Source organism: Homo sapiens, chromosome 5 (assembly GCF_000001405.40).
Source record: "Homo sapiens chromosome 5, GRCh38.p14 Primary Assembly".
Classification (NCBI taxonomy): Eukaryota; Metazoa; Chordata; class Mammalia; order Primates; family Hominidae; genus Homo; species Homo sapiens.
In genome coordinates this window covers 118,541,392-118,563,968 of record NC_000005.10, presented here as the reverse complement: position 1 = coordinate 118,563,968, position 22,577 = coordinate 118,541,392, and the positions used below count along the sequence as shown (strand labels likewise).

At 35.7% G+C, this 22,577-nt stretch overlaps 1 long non-coding RNA gene across 1 annotated transcript in view; it reads left to right on the top strand.

Moving 5' to 3' along the window:
* Positions 1-1,851: 1,851 nt before the first annotated feature.
* LINC02208 (long intergenic non-protein coding RNA 2208) overlaps positions 1,852-22,577 on the top strand; it is a 211,152-nt gene continuing 190,426 nt past the window's right edge. Inside the window, exon 1 of the long non-coding RNA NR_104610.1 lies at positions 1,852-2,048. This is a non-coding gene — a long non-coding RNA (long intergenic non-protein coding RNA 2208). The remainder of the gene's footprint in view (positions 2,049-22,577) is intronic.

Sequence of the window (22,577 nt, the reverse complement as noted above, 5' to 3'; positions counted from 1 at the left end):
AAAAAAAAAAAAAAAAAAAAAATTAGCCAGGCGTATTGGTGTGTACCTGTAGTCCCAGGTACCTCGAGGCTGAGGCAGCAGAATTGCTTGAGACTGGGAGGCGGAGGTTGCAGTGAGCCCAGATGAAAACACTGCTCTCCAGCCTGGGTAAAAAAATAAATAAATAAAAATAAAAATAAATGGCTTCTTCAACTGTGTTGTAGCTCTGGCATGTAAAGAAATCTAACACATGGTAGTGACCATATAATAGTGAGGATGTTTTTTAAAACTAATTTTCCAAAATTTACATGCAAATGATTCTTGGCCTCTTTAAGGAATGATAATACATGGGAGGCGTTAGTCAGAGGCTACCCACCAATATTCTGGCCTTTCTCCTGCCAAAAACCTGGCACGGTTCTACTCCTCCAACACTGTGGAAGTTGGGTATGCCATGTGACTTTATTTAACTAATGGAATGTGAGCAGACGTGACTTGTGTCACTCCCAGGAGAAAGCTTTAAAAGATCCACTTACACTGCCACCACCATCATGGAAGCAAATGTTGAGATGGGGCTTGTGTCAGCCTAGACCTGTGCGATATCACAAGGAGTAGAGTCCTTGTGATAATCCATGTGAAAAATACAGCAGGGGTGAGAAATTGATTTTTTTTTTTTTTGCATTGTATCACTGAGATTTTGCAGTCTTTTGTTCATGGTCTGCCTAGATTAACATAGGAGATTATACACCTATTTCAACAATTCTGTTTTTGCTTAAAACATTGAAGTGATTCTTCTGGTGGTATTGCTGTCAGGGGCAGCATTTGACAACCACACTCTCAGTGTAAAGCCATACTTGCTTTCTGCCCTATAGTAGTATTGCCAGGCTTGACCCTCTGTTTTATTCATTAGATTTGACTCTGCATCTGGTGAAAAGAATAGATTGGACATCATTGAGCCTATTGGGATGAATACACCCTTCAGAAACAGTGGCAGGCAGAGGCTGGGCAGCGGGGGATATGAAGGCAGTTTACCCAGGGTGCAGGCAATAAGAAGATATATTGTCTATAGAAATGTTTAAAGAAATAGAACTGATTAAGATACAGTGTCTTTTGTATTACCATCACAAGTCTATAATTCTAAACAATTTTAGGGAGAAAATACTCCTCCCTTCCCCACTCCTGTTTTCCCCCCTCCTTGCGCAACTACTCAGAAAGCAGTTACAATGAGATTCAAAACTTGAAAAACAGAACTGTGAATTAGAATGTGTTGCCTTATTATGGCAAGTGTTTTGAAATAGATAGCTTTCACGTGGAATATTTATTTAAAAGAAAAAATAAAAATTATTCTATTTTAGGGTTGTTCTTGGTACATTAATTTGGACATTGGCTTAGGAATTTGTAGCTAGTCATATGAACGTTTATGTAAATCTTTCTGTCTAAATTGTTATATCCGTGAGGGCGGGGCTGGGCCTCATTCATCCTTAGGTGTTCATGGGGTCTGGCCAGTACTGTAGTCCGGTACACATAATTGCCCCCCATATATATATATATGAGTCTATATATATATATATATATATATATATATATAGTATATATATATATATATATATATACTATATATATATATATATATATATATATATATAGACTCAAACTAGGCTGGCAGTGAAATGATATTTTTCTTTTGCTTTTTTTTCAGTTATGTGTATGAGAAGCAGGGCGATATCTCCGGCCCACTTCTTTGACAGGTTCTCTTGTTGCTGATGCTGAGAAACTCCAGGAGCCTGCTATTTGTAGAGAGAAGTGTGTTCCAGCTGCTGGTGCTAACAAAGATCTGAGGTTATACACACATGACCTATCACCCACACCCACCCGATTGGGAGGGGTTGCCTCTCCCTGTGTCCACACATATGCCTTGAGTTGCTCTTCAGTGAATATCACTTTTCCTTTCATGTTTTTTCTACATGCTATTATCTGTATGAAATGAAGACCAAGAAAGGATGGGAAGAAGGAGAAGAAAAATTTTGATTTATCTCAGAAACTATACTCCGAAGTGAGAGTCCTGGTTGCAGGTAGGATTTTGTTGGTGATCATTAGAGGGATGAGGGCTGAGAGAACAATTTGAATGTTGCCTATTTCTCCAGGCTGGGGTGGGAGTGGGAAATATGAAGGCAATTTGCCCAGGGTGCAGGCAATAAGAAGATATATTACTTATAGAAATATGAATGAATATAACACTTATAAAGATTATATAGTTGGGATTGGCCCACAGTAGTTGATAATAACGAGAAGTTCTTGGAGACCAGATCATAGTGAACTTGGCCTTAGGGAAATAATTATCGTCTTGAACTCTGATTGTTTTATGGGTAAGTTATGGCATTGAGAGGTGTGTGAGGGGATGCTTAGGCCAGAAGGAGTCTTTTTACCATTTTGAATGTCCACCTTAATGTTTCCTGGGTGAAGTTCCAAGATTTGCAGGGAGCATGCACAGCCTCTGGCCTGTATGGAGTCCATCCCATCTTCCAAGGGTACTTGTAGATGGAGATTAGTCTTGGGTAGGCCATCTTGTGAATTGGAGCCAGTGTTCAGTGCTGGACAGATGTCAACTGGAACTTTCAGATATAGCCCAAGTTCTGGGACTATGAGAAGCCAAACAACCCAGGAATTTTCCTTTGTACTATTTTCCAGAAAAGGGTAGAGTCATTTTTGAGCTCCTGGGGTAAGATGGTAGAATGCAGAGAAACTAGAAAGTATCTACATTTCTCTATTGCAAGCTCTGTACATCTAGATTTGACAGTAAGAATTTGGTTGACTGATATGTAAGTGCTTTTGCACTTACAGACTCGACATGAGATTCAAATGAAAGGGACACAAATGTTTGGTTTTGCTTTTACTCCTTGAGAATAAATCCTGGACTTTACAAATATCCTTTCTAGAAAGAACAACTGAGTGAGAAACCCTAAACTGATACTGAATAAAGCAAGTATGTCTCACAGAATATCTGATTTAAAAAAAAAATTCCTGCTTTAGGAAATGTGTGTGTGTGTATATATATATATATACACACACATATACATATCTATACATATATGTATACACACACAATCATACATATATAGATTATATATGTATCTATATATATTTCTTGGATGTCTTATATTAAGCTTTGGTAGATAAGTGGACTTAGGGACCATAATTACCACCATTTTCCTTATAGAAAGTCTTTGAGTAACTTAGACTATGATCTCTTTTGTTTTTGTCCATTTGCCATTTGTTATTCAGACAATACAACCCCAAGCATGACCTTGGGCACGTTACTTAACAGTTTTAAGCCTGTCATCTATAAAAAGTCAGGGTTGGACCCAGTGACTTCTGAGGTCCCCACTTGCACCAGCAGTCTCTGATTTGGTTGCATGGGGAGACAGCTGTCACAGTTGAAGCCATGTGTGCCTCTCCCACATCACTCCTTTTCTAGAGCTTGCATTTTCCTTAGTGCCTGAGAAATACCGTTTTATAGATGCATGCCTTAGAACGGTATTTTCTCTTTTCATTGTAAAGGAAGGTTTTAGACTTTGCAACAAACGTTCTGGATAGAATGGACAATTAAAAACATGATTGAAACATGATTTTTAGGTATCCACATTATTTCACAAGCTCATTCCTTTCATCTCTACTTTGTCAAGGATTTAGGCAGCTTGTTTCTTTGACTTTCATCACATATCTTTTTTCCTTCCTGTTCAAAATAAGCTCTGTTTCCTTTTTCCTGGCTAGATGAAAGCCTGTGGACTCTGTGCTTCCTGATATCAACCCAACAGTGGTGGTAGAGGGGTTCACATCACTCCAGATAGTCAGTTTCAAAGAATAATAGTTTGGAGACTGTGGGATGAAAAACCAGCTTGAGTTTTCCTCTTCAGATCTCTCCAATACACACTGTCTATGTATTATTTCAGAACACCCATTCAAAAGTAGACTGTTTCCTTCCCTGACTTGGCACCAAATCAAGAAGTGGCATATAATGTATTGTTGTGTTTATTATGCATCATTTTGCTGCTGACACTGTGGCCATCAAATATTGGAAGATTTACAACCACAGAGGTCCAGCCATCATGCCTGAAGTGAAGGACAAAGTACTCTGTTATTCATCTTCAGCTCTGGCCCTTTATGATCAGACAGTGAGCTATATACTTATCAAAGTCAAAATAACCTTCACTTTAGAAAACATAGTTGTCCTTAATTGCCAGAATAGGAATGCATAAACAGCCTCTCTCTTGATAATGGAATGGAGGCTGAATTGATGTAAGTTTTAAGTATTTTGTAATTTTCCAATTGTGGTGCGCTCAATTAAGTTTTAATTCACAAATTATGCATGTATTATACTGGCAAAGAGAAAAAATATTTGTAGTTTTAAACTATACTATCTAAATATGTTATACACATTTGTGCCATGTTTTTGTTTTTTTTTTTCCTCTGAATCAAAGCTATGGCTGGTAGTCCTATTTCTATGCCCTGGTATATAGCAGTTTAGAGCTTGGATGCTGAAACTGGAAAGATGTAAGTTTGAATCCTTGGCTATCCCTGGAACACAGGCAAATGCCTTAGTTTATTCCTCTGTAAAAAATAGTAATAATCATAATAGTACCTACCTTCTAGACAGGAGTATTAAGAATTAAGTGAGATTGTGTATGTTGAAAGATGCTTAGCTCAGTGCCTGGTACATTATGAAAACTCAAGGAATATTTGCCATGATTGTTATTACTCCTTTCTTTCTATTATTGTTAAAAACAGCAGTCCAGAGAAAACATGTATTTCCAAGACCTTCATATCAAAGAGGCAGGAATGAAATGTTACTAGCATTTTATAAATATATACGTATGTTATGGTACTAGGTGGCTTTTGGGAGACATGTAGTTATAAGAGTGAGACAGAGATGACTCAGAAACCAGAAGGCAGCAATGAAAATAGTTCTTACTTGAAAAGGCATTTGTTTAATATGCTTACTCAAGATATATCTTACATAAGATATAAGATATATCTTAGAATTAGTTAAATCTATATAGTGGCTATATGAGCATTTAAAGTTACAGATGTTTATTTGGAAATAAGCAAGTTTTAATATGTGAATAGTAACCCCATGTCTACAAGTTGCAGTGTGGCCAAATGTAAATGGCAGAACAAATTTAGGAAATGAGCTCTAACTCTATTTTGGGAAAGACAAGGGGAATCTCTGGAATTTGGTCTTTGTTCCTAGCTAAGACCTGGAGGTGATTTTAATTGACAAGTATCTTCTGAGCAGTAAAATCAGGATGACAGCATTTGCTTTCCTGGGTGGTAAAAAATCCTCTCTAATAATGGTGGGTGAGTTGCTGGTGAATGAAGAAATGGGCTTGAGAAATGCTGGGAAATAAAATGACTGGCAACTTTAGTTTCAGAGCAATAGGCCTGTGAGTTTTCTTCATTGTTATTTTTGCTGTTCTTTCTGGTGTCATTGTAAAATTAAGTATAGACAAATGAACTGTTAATGGTCTAGAATTTCAGACCAATAGTCTGCCCAGAAACCACAAGACAAGCAATAGGGGACTCTATTTGATATGAAAATTACAGTAGGATTATTTTTATCTCTTCCTTTCCCCTCTTTCTTCTTTACCTCTTTAATAACGACAGGTAAAACTGACACCAAAAAACAAAAGTCTTACCCAAATCCATTGTAAAGTTCCCATTCAGGTGTGTATTACATAAAAATTGCTTAGCTTTCACAAGAACCACCCTTCTGAGAAGAAGAACCATGATGCATATTAATAGGTGAAGAGAGCTTCCTTGGGAAGGACCATAAACCTTGGAGGCCATAAACTCTGGAATTGGATTCCAGAATGAAAGAGCTATGAAAGCCCAGAGGGCAGGCTAAGTATGTGTTGGGACAAGTAAATAAAATGTTTTGTCCTGAATTGCAAAGTACAGTCAATTAATTGTCTACTGGGCTCTGCCACCTCCACCCCTGTTTCCTTCTTGTAGCCTACTTGTTGCTTTCTGAGTATGACCCTGTAATTAATGAAGACTATAAAATTTAATGAAATGGGGTAAAATTTTGGCTGGATAATTTTTTTTTAGTTTCATTATAAATTTTAAAGGGATGTCCTTGGCCAGTGTTTTGAACTGAACAAGAAACTGTCATCAAATTAATGTGTTCACCTTCAGAGGTGCGGCTCTCTCCAGAAGGTCATGCCTTGTGGACATAGCTGTCTTGTGGGGCTGTAGGTGAAGCCCCACTCTGGCTTTTTCTACGTATACCCAAGAAGCCTAGAAGCAGTTGAGAATCAGCAATATGAAAGTCAGCTTTCCAAATGGCCTCCCTCTTTCCTGACATTGCAATCTTAAAATGCCTTTGTCTTTCACAATCTTCATAAGGTCACAAAGGAGTGTTTGTTACCAGATTTATAGCTCTGATATGTTCACATACACACTGGGTCCCCACTAGAGGTTCTGCCAAGCTCTGGGGGCCCCACATAGGCCTCCCACAGTTCAGTCGCCGCACACATGTTTTCTGAGAGAACTCGGAGCTGCTGTCTATGTGCTCATTTTCAGTCTATAAATCCTCCGCACTTCTGTGACTGTTTGCTAGGCCTCCAGCCAGTACTATATTGTATGTGTGAATGCCACATTTCCCTAGAGAGCTGAGCAATCCTGCCTGGTTGGTGTGGACAAACCCCCAGGTGCTGAATGGGGATGGGCTTTAGCTTGTACAATGCTTTCCTTTGACCAGTGTTCCAGGGAAGAGGCCAGGCTCTTTGTGTACAGATGCATTGAACTGCCCCAACAGTGGGTATATGAACGTTCTGCTTTACCTGCAGAAGAGGGTGATGTGTTTAATTTGCTTAGGGTTTAATTAAGCTGCAGACACTTAAAAAAATTCGTTAGAATGACTGGGCTTCCCACGGTTGGCAGTAACACCGTGAAGTCATTTTCTCTAGAAAGTCAAGGCGTTGCTTTAATAAAGAGTTGACAGTTTTGGATGAGTCCTTGGAGACAGAAGAGAGAAAGGCCACATATTAGTTTTAGTCACATGACTCATTTTTCCACTGAGATTTTAACAATTAGTAAGCTCTTCACATTTAATATTCTGAAAGCAGAACAAGCCAGTAGGGAACTTGGGGTTGAAGGGGAAGAAATAGACCATGCCAATTTGTCCCATCATCAATGTAGGACACGAAAGTTAGTGAAGTAGAGGTGAGGGGTGCTAATCAAGGGGAAAATGAGGCATCCCTGCTTTGAATTCCTCACTTAGACATAGAGATGGTACCTGTACAAGCTCAGGAGGGCAAAAGGAGGGCGGAAGGGAAAAGGGTCTCCAGGATAGATCCTGGACCTATAAATAGAGCTTATTACTCTTGAGTAAAACAATAGAGCTCCCCTCCTACTTCATTCAACAAGTCCTTATAGATTTCTTGCTCTATGACAGAGATTGTGTCCTGGAGATCCTGGCTGGTCATTTTCAGTCACGTCTGCGTCTTTATTAAATGTTTCCATCGGTCCACATGTGCTAGGTGCTCCAAGAGAGTTAACTGGAGCCAGCAGTGGCCTCCCTGAATTTTGCAGAAAAGACGAGATGGATATACTTCTATTTCAGTGTTCAGTGTTTAGAAATGAGCAGTCTTGCATTGTTATGCAAATTCCAAGGTAATAGAATGTTTACAAATTACAATAGCTGCAATTACAGGAAAATTTTTTGGCACTTATTTATGTTATTGTGTTCACTGAAGATTATAGCTTGTTACTTTCTGTTCTAATATACTTTACCCACTTAAGTCTTGAAATAGAAACGAAATGCTGGTGTATCATTTTGCAAGAAAGATATATATGTTTCTTATATTGCATTAGACAGGTTAATATGTTTTTGCATTTTATAACAGGGAACTTTATTAGCATGATGAAATTAATGCATGCAGGGCAATATCTTCCGAACTAGTTGTTACCAGTAGATAAAGTCTGATGTGGTAATTGCTAACTGAATGTTGGATCAGGGTTATTACTGAAGTAAAATCATTCACTGTGGGATGATCAGAGCTACAATATTGTGAATGACAAAAGAGCCATAGCCACTCTCTGGTTTTAATTAGCTAAAGAGGTGTCCTGGGTGGTTTTGAAAGGCTTGTCTTATCAATATTGTTACTTAGAAATGATTTACAATATTCTTACACGGTCTGCTAATGTTTCTATCATTAAAGGTCTATCATTTCCATTATGAACTCTGTTGCTGAAGGCTTTGCAGGCATGGCTTAAATATTTATTTCAATACCGTATGTGTGTTTGTGTGTGTGTGTGTGTGTGTTGTGTTTGTGTTTGTGTGTCTGTTTACAACATTTTCTAAGGTCTTGAAATTCCAGGAGTGGCTGTTTATGGATGTACCATTATTGATCTTATTTATTCATATGACAGTGCCCAGCTTCAGTCCCATGAAGAGATATAAGCCTAATTTTTTCAGAGGAAATGACTTCTCTGCTTTATCCATTGATTTTTTAAAAAATGTTTGAAAGTGAGTTTTGATTACCTGAAAATCTGCATGAGCAGATCTGATGTAATATACCTTCTGCCATTTAATTATTTGGTTTGTTCTAACAGTAATGCTTCAAATGTTAATAAAATTTCCAGAAATGTTTATCATCTGAGGTGGTCCTAAGTGAAATGTTCATATTTTCAATTCCTGAATAAATACAAACGGAAACATTTTTGAAGGAAAAAAACGTTCTTTCAGAGGTTACTGCTTACATTACAATGACTACATGCCTGAGAAACCTGTTTGCCAAGTAATATAATCATGTTTCCTGGTCCCTGCATTTACACCATTACATCGTTTCCCAGGTGCAACTGAAGGACTATGGCTATGGTAGCTGCCCAGGAAGACTGGCCATCCGATTCATGCTTGTGCAGTCCTTGGACTTTTAGATCTACCAGGTACCCACACCTCACAAAGGTCTTTTTCTAGGGAAGTGATAAACTTTCACAGAAGTTTTGTTTTGAATCTGAAGGGACCATACGAATTACCTATTCTTATTTATGGCACACAAATGAGAAAAATGAGACCAAAAGAGGTTTAGTGTTTGTCTAGAGACAAGTATCTAGTTATTCAAAAGACCATGAATCAGAATGCAGCCTTGCCTTGCAGTATTTCTTTGTGATAACTGCTTGCCTTGCCTTGTTATTGCATAGATGGGAAGGTTTCTAGTGGTTTTCAGAGCTCTGAAGGCCATCAGAGATTCTTTTGCTCTGTTGCTAGCTTTCCTTGATACTGACATAGTGTTACCGTAAAATCTCTTGTTTTTCTTCCTGGTTCTCAGGTAGAACCCTCTCCCAGAAAAGGAATCTTATTGGCAGTATATTGAATTTTAATGTGTATATTTTCATATAAATTTTTTTTTCACATTTGGAGAAGCAATAGAACATGACTCATTTATTTTTCTTAAAATAGATACTGTGTTAAAATGATTCTATGAAAAAATCTGAAAGAATACATATGAGGGAATATATACCATATTTAGAACTATAGCGGTGAGCTAATTTCCAGTTAACAGAAGATATGAAACCAAATTTTCATTTCGAAACAAGTTAACTCTAATTACTAAACTCAAAATTTATTTTCATAAGAGATTTAAAACACCTGAGTAAGAAATACTTTTATTCTTTTTAAATATATTTATGCTTCTAAATGTCAGCTATTGCAAAATATGCCTTCCCATTAAATCTCTTATTTACAGTTACTAGAAGTCACACATGTTTCAGACCAGTCACAAGAAAGTTTTTGAAGAAGCGTCACTCAAAGGTTTTTTATCAGTTGTAATAGGGACAGATATAGCATGTGTATGAGTGTAATGCTAGCTTCTGTAAAAACACTTAATGTGCATAGTGGTCCAAAGATTATAGAAATGTATTCCTCATTCAATAAAGTCCAAAATAGATATCCTTGGCTTATGACTAGCCTTCTTCCAAGTAGTGAGTCAGAAAACCTAGTCTTTTTCCATCTTGCAGTTCTGTCATCTTCAATATGTGGCTTCCCATGTCTGTGTGCACACTCTGTGGAAAGAGTGGTTGGAGAAGTCACATTGACTCCTCAACCACATTGGGCCCATTGCCTCACACACATCCCATTGGCAAGAATGAGTCACAGGGTCCCACAGGGACTCAGGAATGTCAGTTTTGGCTGGGCAGCTGCTACTCATTAACAACTCTGTATTTTGGAAGGGGGAGAAACGATTTGGCAGAGTCAGTTTCCTCTGCCGTAATAACTCACCCACAATCGACACTCAAGACACATGATAGTTAAAGACTAGTATTAGAAATGAAGGTTTGGATAACTTCGTTCCGAAAGTGCAGACATCCGCATTCATTCATATGACAGGTTTTGGCAATGGCTAAGAGTGGATTGACTCAGATGGACAGCCTAGGCAGTCTAATTGTGTAGTGTCCGTTCAAACTGATCATCTTTAAATATTTGTTTAATAACTACTTAGCATGGGTGATGAAAATTGTTTACTTTTAAAAATGTACACTTATTTATGTTCAAAATATGAGCCTTACTATATATAATATCCACAGTAGATAGCCTGCTGGAAGACTTATATATGATACATATAAATTTGATGGCATATATTGAAGTATATTTATTGTATACATACTTACTTTTATATATTTCTATAATAAAGTAAATTAAATAATTAACTCAGTCCAAGGTCAAAATTCCACACCTCCATTATTCAGTTATGGAATTTGAGCAGGTTGTGACTGCCAGTTTACTTGACTCTCAGTGGGATGAACTGTCAGCCTTCAGGGATGGTGGCTTTCTGCAGGAAGGTACAATTTACATCACAGAAACCTCAGAGATAATGGGCCCAAAGGAGCTGAGAAAAGATTTTCTTGCCACTTAAAGGCACTATCAATTTGAGTGCAAGCATTTTCATTCCAATTTAGTAGTTACTATAAAAAGATGTTGGAAATCCAAAAATAACTTGTACCATAGTTCCATTTCATCCCAATGACATGTTAGCATCAAGATTGCCCACCAGGTATTCCAGTTTGGAACTTCGTCACTCTTTGCCAAATTATTCCATAGGTTTGCAACTTGACAGGATTCACTAATGGCTTCTGGAGAGGTATATTACTTCTAGTACTTACAGAACTAATCAATGCCTGAAAGAACTATGAATCTGTCTCTACGTAGCAAAGTGATGCCTGGAAGATGTTTTGATGTCACAGTTCTCTTGAGGTCATAGGGTGCCTAAAGTTGTATTATGTTGGCTGTTTACATTCTGTAAAGCAATGCTCCTTAACTGTGGTGGTACGTTGGAGGACCTTGTATAAAGAACTGATGCCCACCCCTCTTCCTGCCCCAGTGGCTCTGATTATCCTGAGATGAGACCTGGACATTGATAGTTTTGTTTGTTTGTTTGTTTTTTAGTTATCTTCTTTTAAAAAATTCCCCAGGAAATTCAGCAGAGATTGAGCATCCCTGACCCACAGTGATGGCTTCTCGTACTATTGTTTAATGGAAGGAGATCCTTTTAGCAGAAATCACTCATGATTTAGCAGTCTAGGAGCCATCATGAGGAAAGAGTTGGAGTGGATGGTTTTAATGCAGATGGTCTCAATATGATGGCTAAGAGTATCTCTCAGATGTTCTGCTCTCACCCCTGGGGACTAACTCTAACATCATAGTTTATGTTCAGCCTGACACCAGGGAACATATGAAAAGCAAATACACTCCAGCACTCCAGCAATGTATATATTACCCCAAAATATGAGATATTAGTTATTTCTCTTTAACCAATACGATTTAACTTATATTGAGTGGCCTCTGCTTATAAGTGAATGCTTCATCATTTAATCATTCATTGATTCAAAATATTTATTTATCCTTTTGTGTATCAGGCACCAGAACAGTCCTATAAGCCAACACATCAGTGTCTTTATAACCAAAATTTACTGTGGAAACAGGCAAATCATTTTTGTAGAGTTATTGTTTGTACCTCAACATCTTTGAGACAAATGCTTTAAAGCATATTTTTGGATGGATTTTTTAACAAAGGAAGTCTGCCAGTTTTAACTTTTTGGGACGGAATGTATTTATGAATACTGGCTGTAGTTATTCTAGAGTTTCTATTATAATTACAAAATTCTGCAGTGGTTCTTAACCCTTTGTACTTATGACACACAACTTCCAAATCAGAAATTTCTGGCTCTATACATGAAGGCAATAAAAGATGAACAATGGATAAAAAATCAGTACAGAATTATTTATAATAGAGAAAATTAATGAAGCAAACCTACCCTCAGAAGGGGGTTACTTAAAAGGTATGGTACATCCATATGACAGAATACTACAGAATGGATTAAAGCTTTTTAAAAGGAAATGGAAAAATGCTCATAATATATCACTTCAGAAAAAGCTGAATGTAAAACAATAGCAGTAGTATGATGCTTTTTAAAATGCATATATATTCACATTGATTGTTTTTCTCCATCCCTGGGCACTTCAGGGTGGTAGCACAGTAAAGGAAAGCAATAGATTGCCTCAGTTGTCCTGAATGCTTACCCAGGCACAGGGAGTCTGAGTATCTGCTTTTCTCAGACCTGAGTTTCCAATTTCTGGTGATTTCTTCCAAATATAATGCTGGAATATCCTGGGCAAAACAACATGGATGTGTAACTAAAAGATGTACCACCTGGCAATGACTCAAACCAAAGTGATGATGGGTCACCAGCTATTTTGCTTAGAAGTCATTTCCACTTACCACATCATTCCAGGTGGCACCAACCCCAGTGAAATCCCACAATAACTTTTTCCCAGGGGAAACTCACTAGACCATATATACTCCCATTCCTTATTAGTGTTTTTCTCATTTGTGGTTGGTTTTTCTCTTATTTAATATAAGGTGGTGGTTCTCAGAATAGAGCTCCCTGGACCTGTAGCATCAGCATCACTTGTGAATTTTAACATTTAAAAATTTTTACTAGTTAGTAATGAGGTCTTTCTTTCCTTTTGAATTCTCCTAATACTGTTTTCACTCAAAAATGTATAGGATTATGATAGCTAGAATGTACATAGCTCTTAATTTATGTTGGACACTTCTCTAAGTGCCTTCCAAATTTTAACTTATTTAATCTTCATAATCACCATATGAAATAGGAACTACTATTTCCCTATTTTACAGAAAAGGAAAATTGAACACCAGGAAGATGAGTAACTCATCCAAGGTCATACAACTATAAACATGCTCATAGGAGAAATACTGGAAGCAAATATAAAATATTAGCAGTGATTATATCTGGTTATTTCCAGGTATAGGACCACAGATGGCTTTACATTTTTTTATGTGCTTTTCTATATTTTCCAAAAAAAGATACATATTACAGTTGTTGTCAGAAAAACATCCAAAATGTTATTGAAAAGAACTATGACAGACATTTCAGAGAAGACCAGGAGTAAGGGCGTACCAGAACAGAAGAATAAAGAGCTGTAGTTGAAAAAACTTCTTCCTCATGACTGGATTCTGGAAACTACTGAGCAACTGAGGAAATGAAGAGCCCCAGGCGTGGGTGCAGGGAGCATCCAAACTGGAAATCCAGGGAGGGCATGACATTGAGCAGTCTGATCTTTCTAATGTCTTAACAGGTTTTACAACTTATTATCTTTGTAGGTAGCTGTGGATAAGTGCATTTTATCACAATATTTCCAGGAGACATTTGATAGAACAGAACCCAGCTCTCTGTATCCAGGGTATAAAAAGCTTGGCCATAAAATAATGCCCTGACTCATCTTTAATTAGGTGTGCAGTGTAGGAAAGAAATTAGTGTCTTCCTGTGTATGGGAGGTATGGAGAAACAGCTATAAGTTTTCAAAATAGTCCATTATTAACAATCTGCACTGAATCGATTGGTACCCACAGCTCAGTCAGTGCTTAAACAAGCTGGACAATAGCTGAAGTAATTATTTGGGGTACATTATTGCCATTGTAAAATGTAATCAATGTTTTATTTCAACAAAAAGAGATCTTTTTCTTGATTTCTCTTTTCACCCCACCTTTCCTCAGCTTTATCTCCTTGCCAGAGGTCTGGCAGAAAGATTTTTTTGTTTTCTCTCCCATATTGGCAAGAGTGCTTCAGCCCCATCTGAACATAGCAAGACAGGACACATCTTGTAAAGGTTTTCCATTTTAATATTCCTTAATGACCAATAATGAATTCTTTATAGTTAATCTGCTGTTCTCATGAAAACAATTTAGACGGTTAAAAAAATCAATCATTAATGAGCAGTAAATGACAGCTCCCCAACAACACAGCTGTATTTTTGTAAAAGTGATTAAACATTGTCTGCATTCATAATTGCATGCTTAATAAGAATGTTGAGCACTGAGTCAAGCATTGTTGCTAATGATGACAGATTACGATGCTACAAATGCTTTGGAGTTATGGGGCTAAATTTTCAAAGGCAGTCCCTGGAACAGAATGCACACAGACCCACTAAGTATTCAATTTGCATGGGCCATTACCAGGTTTGTGCATGGCATTTGGGAGCTTTGCAGTTGAGACTCTTTTGAAAATCTGGCCCATTATGACAGAAAGCATCTGTAATTAACAGTAACTGATCTCCCTCTGCCCAGCCTTGGTAAAAGGTATAAAATGCTCTGTGTGTGGTTTCTTGGAGCCCAACACCCCTTTGATGAAAAGCCCTGAAGCCTGAAAGGAAGGCAAAAAGAGTCCGTAGGGGCTTAATTCAGCCTTACAGGCAGATGTGTAAATCTTATCAGCAGGTAAGAGAAAGCAGGCAAGTCATACAGAAGAGGACTTGGTGAAGTCTCATCTCTGAGCTCCTTTCACATATTACTTGCCCCTCTCATTTTGGCTATAAATTTGCTTGCTAAACCTTGGAATTCCTGTATTATTATTCATAGGATTCATAGGACTAACTAAAATCTGAGATTGTCCCATGGCCCAGTGTGGATTGTTAACTGTGCTGAGGTATGAATTTCAATCTTTAGGAAGCTATGAGTAGTGTGAGTCACTCAGTGATTGAGCAAGCTCCATCTGCTGCTCAGTTTGTCTGTACTCTGATCAGGTATGAGGCAATTCCATCTATGAAGCTATGCATAGCTACAATTTCTGAGAAAAATTGCATGCTTTTAGAAAATTTATGAATTTCCTCAAATTTTTTCTTGGAAATATCTTGTATCTGTCTGGGATGTTGAGGATCTGTTGTACTGTTTGATGATATTATATCTTGTGCTGTTATTTATTGCAGTTTATATAGATATCTTATTTTGGTGATACCTTAGCTTAGAGAACAGGGATCATTTGTATTATGCCTTTGACTTCTTCATAGCATCTCACTCACTGCTGTTTTTTCTGGATCAGCCATCCCTTGTCTGAGCAGAGGATTATAGAGTCTCATAGTCTGCAAATCAGACTGGCATATGGTTAAGAACATGGTTTTAAGATGCCTCGTTTGAAATACCACTCTGTCACCCAGTAGTGACATTCTACATCTCTTAAGAGCCTTGCTTTTTCTCATCAGTAAAATAAGAATAAAATTAGTAGTTACATGTGAGAGTTTTTTTTTTTTGTGAGGATTCAGTGAGATAAGTATATGAAACTCAGCAGAGTGACTAGAACTTAGTATGTGCTTGATAAAAGTTCGTTGTTCTTGTCTTTGGTTGTTACGGCCACAACAGTGAAGTTCTATAGCTGAGGCCAGAATCTCTTTAGCTGGGCTGAGTCATTCTCCACAGAACTAAGGGGCAATAAGGTGCTGCCTTTTAGTCCACGTGATCAATGACTGTAGCAGGCAAATGGTAACCTATATATTATGGGCTGAAATGTGTTCCTCTTACACCTAGGAAGTTACATGCATATCATATAGAGGAGAAAGAGAGAACACCAGCTCAGTCAGACAGGTCAACCCAGAGGCATGACATGTGTCACAGTCAGAGGGTCCTACAACCCTAGTTCTACCATCAGAAATCACATACAGAGCTGCTACTGTAGGGCCACATTCAGGACTGGGTTTGACCTGTTGATGGGGCAGAACATTTTGGAGCCTATGCTGGCAACAGAGAGTCAAGCATCTGACTTCTTCCAGGGACTTCTGCTCTCTTAGGGGGCCCTTTCTGTTTCCAGCTCAAGCTGCTTGTGCCTCAGTCTATGGGCAGTGGAATCTTTCTTAGTTAAATAGCAGAGTCTGCATGTAATTTAAACATTGTACAGGCTCTGGTACTGCCCTGCCCCCTCTTCCCCTTAGGTTGTTTGTCCTCTAAAGACTTAGGGCCCTCATCACAGTCCACAGTCAAACAATATGTGCAGAATGAAGGTGAACGATAAAGGGAGAATGGACTTGTGTTTTTGGTTTAGTTCTTTTCTCTTCTACCCCAGTACCCTTTGGATCCTTTAACATAAAAAGTATAAGAGAATTAAAACTAAAGGCAGAAATGCAGGTGTTATAAATTTTAAATAATCTCATGAACGTTCAAGATTTTTAAATCATTTTAAAAATGAAGTGGTAGTGGAGGGTGTGTGGCTTCTGGGATTTAATGAAGAATTTGAAATTATAATTTTCATACCTGTCTTTGATTTAATGCCAAATGTCTTCATCTGACAAATGAAAACTATCTGATTATTACCTACTCTCTCTTTCCAGATGAAGAGTAGTAGCTGCTAAATTATTGTCAAATATTTTGGAAATATGAAATGCTGTACAACAATAGTAATTTGCATGGTAATGGGCAAGAACCAGGTCTTTATACCCCATTACCACAAGTGATTAACAAGAAGATTAGAAGATTAGGCAGGATAGTCTGTCTTTGGGGGCCATTGTGGAGACTGGCAAATGCCTAGGTTTGCAAATCTCCTTTTTCTCTGATTGATAATAGAGTAACCTCATGTGTTGTTATATGTGGATATTGCTGCACGAGACAGAACTCATGATTTGCTGCAACCCAATACTCTGCTCTTTGAGTAGCCCAGGCAATGTCCCTCCTTAGCCCACTGCTCCCACCTCATTTATCCTGCTCCCTGCTACTTCTTGCCTTTCTTTCATATTGTCTCCCAAGCTAAGAATGGGCCGTTTGTTGTTCTTAGTTATGGCAAATTCCACACAGAGAACCCATCTCCAAACAGTTCAATCTTGTGCTACAACCTCTAATGTGGCAACAAAACCTATAAGACTAACCATGGACCTGGGGCCAATTTTTTAAAACTCTGAGGCTCAGCTTCCTGATCTTCAAAAAAAAAAAAAAAAAATGAATGTGATATTTACTGCTCAGGATTAATATAAGATTAAATAAAATAATGTGAACAATTAAGGGTCAGTAAATTTTCTGAGTCTATGGACTCTCTTTGACTAATGGGACCTTTGATGACACCTTCTTTGTTTGAATTCACATTATGTTTACAAGATTTCAATGTGTGACACATACCTCAATGCTTGAACAAGAATAGTTTCATGTTATCCTCTTACTGTGTTACATGTATAAAAAGCCCACATCCTGTGTTTCTCAAATTGCCTTCTGGAGAGCAGAGGAGATGTTTTAATTGAATATCTACTGGGAATCTAAGTAAGGCATAGAATCAGATTTTTAGAGCTAGAAGGGAAAGCAGGGATGTGTTGAATTTTCCAGATGGCCACCACGATAACTCCCATCCTTCGTGCTTTCCTACGATGTCAGGAACCTGATCGGAAAGTGAAGTCAAATTCTTCTCCCTTGAATCTGACTGAACTTGTAAATGCTTTAACCAGTAGAGTGGAGGGCATACTATATGCTTTCCAAGGTTATAGAATGCCGTGTTCTTTCTGTCCTGTCAAACAGGATCATCACATTTTGGAGTTCTCAGTCCTGTGTACAAAGTCCAACTATCTGAGGCCACCATGCACTTAGGATGTCCAGGCCACCTGGAGAGGCTACCAGATATGTGTATGAAGAAGTTGTCTTGAAAGTGGATCTTCCAGCCCATGTTATTCTAGCTACAGCTGTTTGAGTCTCCTTGTACAAGCCCCAGACATCATGGAATGGAGAAGAGCTGAGCCACGGTGTCCTCTCCAAATTCTCAATCCACAAAACTCATGAAAATAATAAAATGATTGTGTCTTTGTGCTACTAAATTTAGGGAAATTTGTTATTCAGCAAAGATGATTAGAACAAGAGACCACAATTTGACTATCATATTTCAGAAATGACACAGATCCAGAGAGGTTAAATAAATCATTTTATTCAAATGAAGACTTAGTGGTAGAGTTATTCTTAAGTACTGGCTTTAAGATCCATGCGCAATTCACTACTACATCATGTACCTTCTTAGCTCTTGACATCAGCCCTGAATATTTGCATAGTTAAGACTTGACTTTAGGCTTCTGTACTCAAGGGGCACACATTCTAAGAAGTATTATACTCACATAGTAAGCTATGAGGAAATTAATTACATTATAAGCCTAGCAGAGAGGATTCTGCTGCAGACTTTAGGTAGTGAGAGATATTGGAAACTCCCAGAGAAGGGACAGAGATGAAGAAATGGAAATAGAGAAAAAGTGAGAGTTCTGCAGAGATTGAAGCCTTGCAGGGGAGGGAGGGGTAAGCAGCAGAGCATGGGGGTAAAAGTCATGAGACACTGGTGGAAAAAGAAGGGTTGAAGTTGCTTGAACTCTATTCAGGCAAACAACTGTGCGCCGACAAGAAGAAGGCTGATAAGCAGCTTTAGACTGTCTATAGCTAAAGGGGAAGTGAGAGGCAGGCAGCATATGGAGCAGGAAAGAACAGAGGGGGAGACAGCATGAGGGGAGAGAGAAAGTTGAGGAGAGAGATGGGGAGCCCGAGCAAAGAAGTAGGAAAACAGTTGGCCCTAAGTGTCCAAAGAAATTAGGAAGAATTGGAGACAGTGGGAGATGATGACAGAAATAAAACCACAAAAAGTTCAAGGAAAACATTTGGAATGCAAATGAAAACAGTAAAGTGTGTGTAGAAGAAACGGAAAAAAATGGAGGCTGAAATACATTTGAGGTGAAAACAGTAATTGATTCAATTGTTCATACAAGAAAACAGTTTGGATGAGAGTTTAAGCAGCATGTCACATTTTGAGTTACCTGGTTACTAAGAGGCCACATTGTATTTCTAAGATGTTTCTAAAAGTGGAGTTTGATTTGTCCTTTTATTGTAAGAGAAATTATACCTACAGAAACGTAAAAAATGGATGGGCTAGGAATTGGATTTTCCTAGACTGCTAGAAGAAAAAAAAATAGCATTAAGGAGTTAAAGTCTCTAACTGTAAGGAGGCAATAAATTCAATAGAGGAGTGCATATGACCAATGACTGAATTTGAGAACAAAGAAGACCAGAATGGTAAATTGTCCATTGACATCCTGGAGCTCCTTCCAATATGTAGAGAACTTCCAGCCTTTATATTTATTAGTACTTTAAGCCTGAAATATTGATAGTGACAAAGAAGAAGATGGTAATGATGATGGTGGTGGTAAGGATAATGTTTTCTGCAAGCCAGACATTGTTCTAAATATATAAAAATATGTATTTATATATTTATATGAATATATATCTATATATTTATATATATATAGAAACATACATCTACATATTTATATATAATTATATATATAGAAATATGTAGATATATATTTCTATATATAGAAATATATAGAAATATATATATTTATATATATTTACATATAGAAATACATAGAAATATATATTTCTATGTATTTCTATATATAACTATATAGAAATATAGATTTATATAAATATATAAATATATAAAACAACATTTATATATTTCTATAAATCTAGATTTATATATTTCTATAAATCTAGATTTATATATTTCTATAAATCTAGATTTATATATTTACATAAATCTAGATTAATATATTTATATAAATCTAGATTAATATATTTATATAAATATAGATTTATATATTTATATAAATCTATAGATTTATATAAATCTAGATTTATATACTTATAGATTTATATAAATATATATTTATAGATTTATAGATTTATATAAATATATATTTATGTATTAAATATATAAATATATATTTATGTATTAAATATATAAATATATATTAAATATATATATTTATATTAAATATATGTGTATATACTCAATATATATTATATATTTAATATATCAATATATATACATTAAACATATAATATATGAATATATATTAAATATATATGAATATTTATATAAATATTTTATATATTTATATATTTATATAAATATTTTACGTGTTTATATATTCAAATAAATATTTTATGTGTTTACATATTTAAATATTTTATATGTTTACATATTTATATAAATATATATTTATATATTTATATATTTATATTATATATATATGTTTATATATTTAATATATATATTTATATATTTATATATGATTATATATTTAATATATATTTATATATTTATATATGTTTATATATTTAATATATATTTCTATATTTATATGTTTATATATTTAATATGTAAATATATATATTTAATATATAAAATATTTATATAAATATTTTATATATTTATATAAATATATAAATATTTATATAAATATATATAATATAATTTATATTTATATTTATATTTATATATTTATAAATATAAGTATATATTATATAAATATAAATATATATTTATATATTTTTACACATATATATTATATATATCATATATAAATATATATATTTAAATACTTATATGTTATACATATCATATATAAATATATATATTTATATACTTATATATATCATATATAAATATATATATACTTATATATATTATATATCATATATAAATATATATATATATTTATATATACTGTATATATATACACACAATATATATATACACAGTATATATACACACAGTATATATATACACAGTAATACATATACACAGTATATATATACACAGTGATACATATACACAGTATATATATACACAGTGATACATATACACAGTATATATATACACAGTGATACATATACACAGTATATATATACACAGTGATACATATACACAGTATATATATACACAATATATATGTACACAGTATGTATATACACAGAGTATATGTACACGGTATATATAAACACAGAGTATATATATATACACGGTATATATATACACAGAGTATATATATATATACACGGTATATATATACACAGAGTATATATATATATACACGGTATATATATACACACAGTGTATATATACAGTGTATAGAGACAGTGTATATACACACAGTGTGTATAGAGACAGTGTATATACACACAGTGTGTATAGAGACAGTGTATGTACACACAGTATATAGAGACAGTGTATATACACACAGTATATACAGACAGTGTATATACACACAGTATATACAGTGTATATACACACAGTACATATATACAGACAGTGTATATACACATAGTACATATATACAGACAGTGTATATACACACAGCATCTGTATACACGCAGTACATATATACACAGCATCTATATACACGCACAGTACATGCATACACAGCATCTGTATACACGCACAGTACATGCATACACAGCATCTGTATACACGCACAGTACATGCATACACAGCATCTGTATACACGCACAGTACATGCATACACAGCATCTGTATACACGCACAGTACATGCATACACAGCATCTGTATACACGCACAGTACATGCATACACAGCATCTGTATACACGCACAGTACATGCATACACAGCATCTGTATACACGCACAGTACATGCATACACAGCATCTGTATACACGCACAGTACATGCATACACAGCATCTGTATACACGCACAGTACATGCATACACAGCATCTGTATACACGCACAGTACATGCATACACAGCATCTGTATACACGCACAGTACATGCATACACAGCATCTGTATACACGCACAGTACATGCATACACAGCATCTGTATACACGCACAGTACATGCATACACAGCATATATATACGCACAGTATATATATATACAAGGTATATATACACACAGTGTATATATATACACGGTATATATACACACAGTGTATATATATACACGGTATATATACACACAGTATATATATACAGGGTACATATATATACACAGTATGTATATACACGGTACATATAAATACACAGTATGTATATACACGGTACATATATACACAGTATATATATACACGGTACATATATACACAGTATATATATACACGGTATATATACGGTATATATGTATACACAGTATATATATTCACAGTATATATGTATACTCAGTATATATGTATACACAGTATATATATACACACAGTGTATACACACAGTATATATACACAGTGTATATACACACAGTATATATATACACACAGTATATACATACACAGTATATATATACACAGTATGTACATACACAGTATATATATACACAATATGTACATACACAGTATATATATATACACAGTATGTATATACAGACTATATATACACAGTATGTATATACACACTATATATTCACACACTATGTAATACACAGTATATATACACACAGTATATATATACA